At 41.7% G+C, this 9,779-nt stretch overlaps 1 pseudogene; it reads right to left on the bottom strand.

Annotated features, from left to right (window-relative positions):
- On the bottom strand, positions 7,295-8,907 carry LOC100128467 (nuclear distribution protein nudE-like 1-like; annotated as a pseudogene).

Below are 9,779 nucleotides of genomic sequence, written 5' to 3'. Positions count from 1 at the left end.
ACAATCTCGGCTCACTTCAGCCTCGACCTCTTGGGCTCAAGCAATCCTCCCACCTCAGCCTCCCAAGTACCTGGGACTATAGGCACGCACCACAATGTCAGGCTAATGTATATATATAATACATATACACACACACACACTATATATATTATATATAGTATGTATATAATATATAATGTGTGTATAATTATAATATATATACATATCACACTATAATATATATACTCTCTATATATTATATATAGTATATATAATATATATACATACTCTCTATATATTATATATAGTATATATAATATATATACATACTCTCTATATATTATATATAGTATATATAATATATATACATACTCTCTATATATTATTTATAGTATATATAATATATATACATACTCTATACATTATATATAGTATATATAATATATATACATACTCTCTATTATATATAGTATACATAATATATATACATACTCTCTATATATTATATATAGTATATATAATATATATACATACTCTCTATATATTATATATAGTATATATAATATATATACATACTCTCTATATATTATATATAGTATATATAATATATATACATACTCTATATATTATATATAGTATATATAATATATATACATACTCTCTATATATTATATATAGTATATATACACACACTATATATATATTATATATAGTATATATATAATAGTGTGTGTATATATATTATATATATATATATGTATTTTGTAGCGACAGGGCCTCATTATATTGCCCAGTCTGGTCTCAAACTACTAGGCTCAAGTGATCCTCCCACCTCAAGCCTTCCAAAGTGCTTGAATTACAGGTAAGCCACCTTACCCAGCCATGGCTAGAGTTCAGTGGTGCAATTGTAGCTCACTGCAGCCTTCAAGTCATTCTCCCATCTCAGCCTCCTGAGTAGCCGGGACCACAGGTACGCACCACCATTTTTGGCTAATTATTAAGGTTTTTGTTATTATTTTATTTAACACTTATTATTTTATTTAAATAATAAGAAAGAAAGGTCTTTCTATTCACACATGTAATTACCCTTTCTAAGGCTTTTCATTCCTGTGTGCTCTGTGTATAGATCCAGGTTTCCAGCTGGTGCCATTTGTCTATCACTTGAAGAAATTTTTAAAATATTTTTTGTAGTGTGGGTCTACTGGAAATGAATTATTTCAGTGGCTTCATGTCTGAAAATAGCTTTATTAAAACTTCAGGCCAGGCACGGTGGCTCAAGCCTGTAATCCCAGCACTTTGGGAGGCCGAGGTGGGCGGATCACGAAGTCAGGAGATTGAGACCATCCTGGCTAACATGGTGAAACCCCGTCTCTACTAAAAATATAAAAAAATTAGCCAGGCTTGGTGGCGGGCGCCTGTAGTCCCAGCTACTCGGGAGGCTGAGGCAGGAGAATGGCGTGAACCTGGGAGGCAGAGCTTGCAGTGAGCCGAGATCGCGCCACTGCACTCCAGCCTGGGCGATAGAGCAAGACTCCGTCTCAAAAAAAAAAAATTCAGCGGGGCCAGCCATGGTGGCTCACATCTATAATCCCCGCACTTTTGGAGGCTGAGGCAGATGGATTGCTTGAGCTCAGGAGTTTGAGACCAGCCAGGGAAAAACGGCGAAACTCCATCTCTACAAAAAATACAAAAAATTAGCCAGGCATGGTGACTGTGGTCCCAGCTACTCCACAGGCTGACGTGGGAGGATCACCTGAGCCCAGGGAGGCTGAGGCTGCAGTGAGCTGTGATCATGCCACTGCACTTTAGCCTGGGTGACAGAATGAGACCCTGTCACAAAAAAAAAGGAAAGAAAAAGAAAGAAAGAGAAAGAAAGAAGAAAGAAAGAAAGAAAGAAAGAAAGAAAGAAAGAAAGAAAGAAAGAAAGAAAGAAAGAAAGAAAGAAAGAAAGAAAAACTTCAGGGCCAAGTGTGGTGGCTCGTGCTTGTAATCCCAGTACATTGGGAGGCAAAGGCGGGAAGATTGCTTGAGCCAGGAGTTTGAGATCAGTATGGGCAGGATGGCAAGAACCTGTCCCTACAAAAAACTTAATAATTAGCCAAATATGGTGGTGCGTACCTGTGGTCCCAGTTACTCAGGAAGCTGAGGTGGGAGAATGACTTGAACCCAGGAGGTTAAGGCTGCAGTGAGCTACAATTGCACCACTGAACTCTAGCCTAGGCAACAGAATGAGACCTTGTCTCAAAAAACAAATTAATTCTGAGTTTGATGTCTTCCCTGGAAAAACTAAGCAAATAAATGAAACTTCAGGGGTTTTGTAACAGCTTTATTGCGATATAATTCACATGTCCTATGATTCACTCCTTTCAAGTGTGCAATTGACTGATATTTGATATATTCACAGAGATATGCATCTATCACCACAATCAATTTTATAACACTTTCATTGTCCCAGACAAGAGCTCTGCACCCCTTAACCATCATCCTCAAATCCCCCATTGCCCACCACCAGCCCTGGGAAACTACTAACTTATTTTCTGTCTCCATACATTTGCCTGTTCTGGACATTTTATATAAATAGAATCATAAAATATGTGGGCTTCTTTCACTTAGCATAGTGTTTTCAAGTTTCATCCATGCTATAGCATGAATGTAGCATTTAATTCCTTTTTAAAGCTGAATAATATTCCATTGTACAGACATGCCATATTTTGCTTATCCATTCATCAGCTCATGAACATTGGGTTATTTCCATTTTTCAGCTATTATGAGTAATGCTGCTGTGAACTTTTGCATGTAGTACATGGACATAAGTTTTCATTTCTCTTGAGTATGTATCTAGGAGTGAAATTGCTGGGTCTTATGGTTACTCCATGTTTAACCTTTTGAGGAACTTTCAAGCCATTTACCAAAATAGCTATGCCATTTTACATTTCCACTAGCAATGTATGAAGCCTTCAATTTTTTTCACATCATTACCAACATTTGTTATTGCATATATTTTTAATTATAGTCATCCTAGTGGGTGTGAAGTGATATATAATTTTGGATTTGATTTGCATTTCACAAATGTCACAGATATCACAATTACATGGTGTTGAGCATCTTTTCATTTCCTTATTGACAATTTATGTAGCTTCTTTGGAGAGATATCTATTCAAATTCTTTACCTATTTTAAATTGAGTAGTCTTTTTATTGCTGAGTTTTTAAGAGTTCCTTATATATTATAGGTACATGTTTCTTATCAGAAATACGCTTTGCAAATATTTTCTCTCATTTTGTGGGTTGCTTTTTCAACTTCTTTATAGTATCTATCTTAGTTCGTTTTCTGTTGCTATAACAATACCACAGACTGGGTAATTTATAAAGAAAATACGTTTATTTAGTTCATGGTTCTGGAGGCTAGGGAGTCCAAGAGCATTGCACCAGCATCTGGTGAGGGCCTTCTTACTGTGTCATAACATGGCAGAGGGCATCACATGGCTAGAGGACAAGAGCAAGAGGCCACAGAAAGCTTGCTTTTATAGCAAAGCCACTCTCATGATAACAAGCCCACTCCCATGATAGTGACATTAATCCATTCATGAGGGAAGAAGGATTAAGTTTCCAATACATAGGCTAGGCACAGTGGCTGACACCTGGAATTCCAGGTGAGCTCAATGAGTCATAGTGGCACCACTGCACTCCAGCCTGGGCGACAGAGTGAGATTCTGTCTCAAAAAAAAAGAGTTTCTGACACATAAACTTTTAGAGACACATATAAAACATGGCAGTATTTTTAATTTTGATATTTAATTTTTAATTTTGATGAATCCTGATTTATTGGTTATCTTTTGTTGCTTGTGCTTTTGGTATCATACCTAATCTAAGGTCATGAAGATTTGTAGTTATATTTTCCTCTGAAAATTTTATGGTTTTAGCACTTACTTTTAGGTTTATTATGATTTTGGGTTAACTTTCTCTTTTTTTCTGATTGATAAGCTCTTTTTTTTTTTTTTAGTATTTATTGATCATTCTTGGGTGTTTCTCGGAGAGGGGGATGTGGCAGGGTCATAGGATAATAGCAGAGAGAAGGTCAGCAGATAAACATGTGAACAAAGATCTCTGGTTTTCCTAGGCAGAGGTCCCTGTGGCCTTCCACAGTGTTTGTGTCCCTGGGTACTTGAGATTAGGGAGTGGTGATGACTCTTAACGAGCATGCTGCCTTCAAGCATCTGTTTAACAAAGCACATCTTGCACTGCCCTTAATCCATTTAATGCTGAGTTGACACAGCACATGTTTCAGAGAGCACGGGGTTGGGGGTAAGGTTATAGATTAACAGCATCCCAAGGCAGAAGAATTTTTCTTAGTACAGAACAAAATGGAGTCTCCTATGTCTACTTGTTTCTACACAGGCACAGTAACAATCTGATCTTTCTTTTCCCCACATTTCTCCCTTTTCTTTTCGACAAAACCTCCATCGTCATCATGGCCCATTCTCGATGGTCACTGTCTCTTCGGAGCTGTTGGGTACACCTCCCAGATGGGGCGGCCGGGCAGAGGCACTCCTCACATCCCAGATGATGGACAGCCGGGCAGAGGCGCTCCTTACTTCCCAGACGGGGCGGCCGGGCAGAGGCGCTCCCCACTTCCCAGACGGGACGGCTGGGCAGAGGTGCTCCTCACTTCCCAGACGGGGCCGCCGAGTTAACTTTCACATATGGTATAAGATAAGGTCTAAGTTCAACTTTTGCAGCTGGATATCCAGTTATTCCAACATCATTTGTTGAAAACACTACTTATTTTCTCCTGTGAATTGTTTTGGTATCCTTGTTGAAATCAACTGACCATCAAAGTAAAGGTTTATTTCAGAACTCTCAATTAAATTCCATTGATCTATATGTCTATTCTTATGCCAAAACAACACAGTTTTCATTGTTGTACTTTTCTAGTGAATTTTAAAATCAGAAAATGTCAGTTCTCCAACTCTGTTCCTCTTTTTTTTCTATGAAATTTATTGTATCTACACTAAAAGACTTTTTTTGAGGGGAAGTGTTTTTTTAACCGTGTTATGATCCTACACAGCTGCCCAGAGTAGGACACTATCGTAAGTCATTAACATGCCGTATGAGTTCTGAATAAATAAAATCTATAAAACACAAGTTATATATAAATATCTTAGTCATGTTTACAAACCTGTGTATTAAGTTGGTGCGACAGTAATTGCCCTTAAATCTCTTGCTTCATCTTTTAAACTCTGTACAGAGACCAACAACATTCATTTTCTTTTTTTTTTTTTTTTTGAGGATGAGAAATACTGGAGGACTTTATTTAATTATTTGAGACTTTTTTTGACTTTTTAATATATTTTTTAAATTATATTTTAAGTTCTAGGGTACATGTGCACAACGTGCAGGTTTGTTACATATGTATACATGTGCCATGTTGGTGTGCTGCACCCATTAACTCATCATTTACATTAAGTATATCTCCTAATGCTATCTCTCCCCTTTCCCCCCGCCCCACGACAGGCCCCAGTGTGTGATGTTCCCCTTCCTGTGTCCAAGTGTTCTCATTGTTCAATTCCCACCTATGAGTGAGAACATGCGGTGTTTGGTTTAACAACATTCATTTTCATGAAGTTCACTTTCTAAAAATGAATTTCATTTATTAAAAGTAATGGCAAAACTGCAATTACTTTTGCACCAACCCAATACAATGAAGCAAATGTAAACACTAAATGCAGCATGACAGTGATCAAGCAATGCACAGAGACAACCACTTTTGGTGAGTCCGCCCCCCAGGAGCCGGCACCAGCCAGCCCTGGAGTCAGGCTACTCAACCCTTCCAAAACTAACTGGGCTAGCCCTCAGAGGAGAAAAAAGGTCTGAAGATGTCATAGACCTGAAGGACTGGAAAGCTGGTGAGAGGTTGCCTGCCAGCTCTCCACCCACCGAGTCTGAGGCACACAGAGAAGAAGACAGCACAGAGGCTTAGTCTGTGTGCCCAGGCCCCAGAGGCTCCTGCCATCTGGGGCTCTGACAGGCATTTTGCTGCTTTAGGAGGCAAGTCCATGGAATGGTAACTGCTTAAGTAAAATCAGAAGGTCCAGAAAATTTTCTCTAATTCAGTAACCTTCCTGACTTTTTGCCAGAAACAGGCCCGAACAGTGAGGGGTGGAGCTGGGGGACACATGATCATGAGCACTGAAGATGCTTGAGTGGGAGCTCAGAAAGAAGGCACACATTGACCTGATTTGGTGGAGAACTTCTAGAAGATTTGCAATGTCCTAACACAACTAAATCCTGTCAGTACAGCAGAGTGGGGGCTATGAAGCAGGTGTGATGAATGGGTACTTCTCCATCCAGTGACCAAGTAATACACAGATGCATCACCTTGTGACCCACACAAGTGCAATCATATGAAGCCAACTTCACTATGGTAAGAAGAGAAAATAGCCAGTATTGATATTGTGCAGAGTCCTGGGGCTAGGCAGGGCCCAGCAGCCGCCGCTGCATGCAGCCAGCCCCCTGCCAGCGGTGGGAAGGCAGTTGGAGGGGCATGGGGCTGGGCCCCGGCACCAAGGGGTGAGGCATGGGCGTATTGGGTTGTTGGAGGAGGGCAAGAGCCCCCACTTGGAGGCCAAGCACTCACACTGAAAGGCAGCATACCCGGTGCTGGCAGCAGGCATGAGGAGTGCAGACCAGGAGAAGGAGGAGCTGGATTAAAGCCGTTTACTGCATTATGAACAATGTAGGAAATGTGACTTTTTTTTTTTTTGAGACAGTCTCACTCTGTCGCCCAGGCTGGAGTGCAGTGGCACAATCTCGGCTCACTGCAACCTCCACCTCCTGGGTTCAAGCGATTCTCCTGCCTCAGCCTCCCCAGTAGCTGGGACGACAGGCATGCGCCACCACACCGGGCTCATTTCTGTATTTTTAGTAGAGACAGGGTTTCACCATGTTGCCCAGGCTGTTCTCGAACTCCTGGCCTCAAGTGATCTGCCTGCCTTGGCCTCCCAAAGTGCTGGGATTACAGGCGTGAGCCAGGGCGCCTGGCCTTTTTTTTTTTTTTTCTTTTGAGACAGAGTCTCATTCTGTCACCCAGGCTGGAGTGCAGTGGTGCTATCTAGGCTCACTGCAACCTCCGCTTCCTGGGTTCAAGCGATTCTTGTGCCTCAGCCTCTTGAGTAGCTGGCATTACAGGTGCCCACCACCATGCCCAGCAAATTTTTGTAATTATAGCAGAGATGGGGTTTCACCATGTTGGCCAGGCTGGTCTCGAACTCCTGACCTTAAGTGGTCCGCCTACCTCGGCCTCCCAAATTGCTGGGATTACTGCCTGACCGGAAATATGACTTTTTCTTGCCCTTCATCTGATTGGGAGACTCTTGTGCAATTGGCATTCAGCACCCCACTGTTAACATTTCCTGAAATATAGGACTTTCATGTTTGGTCCTTTGCAAAATTTCTGCAAGCTGCTAATTAGGATTGTAAAGTCCCTAATTTTCCTAAGAGATCCCCCATGGTCGTTAATGCTGATAGCCCAGCAGGAGTTAGTGGACTGGTACCAAAACCACTTAGTGTAGCTTTCGGGAAGGAAAACTGTTTTCCTTTCCTTTGCCAATAGGAGTGGCTGGCAAAAAGAGTGATCCCTGGACAGTGGAATCTATCTTTTCACCATCTAGAGTTGGAGAAGTAGGAGCCAACTTTCTGGTTACTTGCTTTCCTGAACTGCTAGTTCTTGCCCTTAAATCTCTTGCTTCATCTTTTAACCTCTGTACAGAGACCGACAACATTCCTTTCCATGAAGTTCACTTTCTAAAAATGCATTCCGTTCAATGGCCTGATTTAGCCTTTGTTCAAAGTCTTCCAGTGAAGGCCAGGTGTGGTGGCTCACACATGTAATCCCAGCACTTTGGGAGGCCAAGACGGGTGGATTACTTGAGGTCAGGAGTTCGAGACCAGCCTGGTCAACACAGCAAACCCGGGAGGTGGAGGTTGCAGTGAGCCGAGATCTCACCACTGCTCTCCAGCCTGGGCAACAGAGCGAGACTCCGTCTCAAACAAAACAAAACAAAAACAACGTCTTTTAGTGAAACTATTATTGCCCTTTTTTTTTTTTTTTTTTTGAGACGGAGTCTCGCTCTGTCGCCCAGGCCAGACTGCGGACTGCAGTGGCGCAATCTCGGCTCACTGCAAGCTCCGCTTCCCGGGTTCACGCCATTCTCCTGCCTCAGCCTCCCGAGTAGCTGGGACTACAGGCGCCTGCCACCGCGCCCGGCTAATTTTTTGTATTTTTAGTAGAGACGGGGTTTCACCTTGTTAGCCAGGATGGTCTCGATCTCCTGACCTCATGATCCACCCGCCTCGGCCTCCCAAAGTGCTGGGATTACAGGCGTGAGCCACCGCGCCCGGCCCTATTATTGCCCTTTTTGCTTGCTACGGGTCATCATTGGCCTGTTCCAGCTCTCTCACATACTTAAGCAACCACACCTTAATGGCCCACATCTGACTTAAATCATCTGATATTGAGACCTGCTTGTAGCTCTGCGCATATTGATGTTCTGGTTTCTCCTTCAATGCCTCCACTTCATATTTCAGACTTTGGCTATAAAGTTGCAAGTCTCTATTTCTTTGTTCAGGCTGTGCTAATTGTGCTGCCAAGTCTGCTTCTAAATCTCTGCTTCCTTCCTGAAATTCAACTAGCTCATCTCAAGCTTCCTGGAAGCTATGTTTGTACTTCAAGGACATTTCCTTCCAATAAGCAGTTTCATCCTTTAAACTTGAAAAATCTGGTATATGTTCATCATCCATGATCAAAAAAGTCTCTAATGTGTCAAAAGCATATGTTCACCAGCGCTTGACCCACGTCTGTGCTCCACTGGTTTGGCCAGGCTAACCCAGCTGCTCAGCTTCATTCCTCTCCACAGCTCTGAGCTCCACTCCATTCTGTTCCTCTTTCTTGAGGTCGTTTAGCTATTCTGGGTCCCTTGAATTTTCATATGAATTTTAGAATCAGCAAATAAATTTCTGAAAAAAAAAAGTTGACTGAGTATTTTTGGTTTGGTGTTTTTTGTTTGTTTGTTTGTTTTTTATGTGTGTGTATTTCTTGCAGAAATTGGGGTCTCATTTTGTTGCCCAGGCTGGTCTCGAACTCCTGGCTTCAAGCAATCCTCTCAACTACAGCCTCCCAAAGTGCTGAGATAACAGGGGTGAGCCACCGTCCCCAGCCGTGACTGGGATTTTGGTAGTGATTGCATTGCATCTGTAGATGAATTTGAGGAGAACTGCTATCTTAAAAATATTAGGTCTTGGGCCGGGCACAGTGGCTCATGCCTGTAATCCTAGAACTTTCGGAGGCCAAGGCAGGAGGATCACCTGAGATCAGGAGTTCAAGGCCAGCCTGGCCAACATGGCAAAACCCCGTCTCAACTGAAAATACAAAAATTAGCCAGGCATGGTGGCGGATGCCTGTAATCCCAGCTACTCAGGAGGCTAAGGCAAGAGAATCGCTTGAACCCAGGAGGCAGAGGTTGCAGTGAGCCAAGATCACCCCACTGCACTCTAGCCTGGGCAATAGAGCGAGACTCCATCTCAAAATAAATAAATAAATAAATAAAATTAAGTCTTCCCAATACATGAGCATGGTATATCTACCTTTCACTTTATTTAGATCTTTAATTTCTTTGAACAATGTTTTATAATTTTTAGAGTATGATTTTTATTTATTTATTTTTGTTAAATTTATTCCTTAGCGTTTTATTCTTTTTGAAGCTCTTTTAATGGGATACCTTCTTAATTTAATTTTTGGATTGTA

Source organism: Homo sapiens, chromosome X, assembly GCF_000001405.40.
Source record: "Homo sapiens chromosome X, GRCh38.p14 Primary Assembly".
NCBI classification, from domain to species: domain Eukaryota; kingdom Metazoa; phylum Chordata; class Mammalia; order Primates; family Hominidae; genus Homo; species Homo sapiens.
Note: the sequence above shows the minus strand (reverse complement) of the source record. Positions and strands in the feature narration are given on the sequence as shown.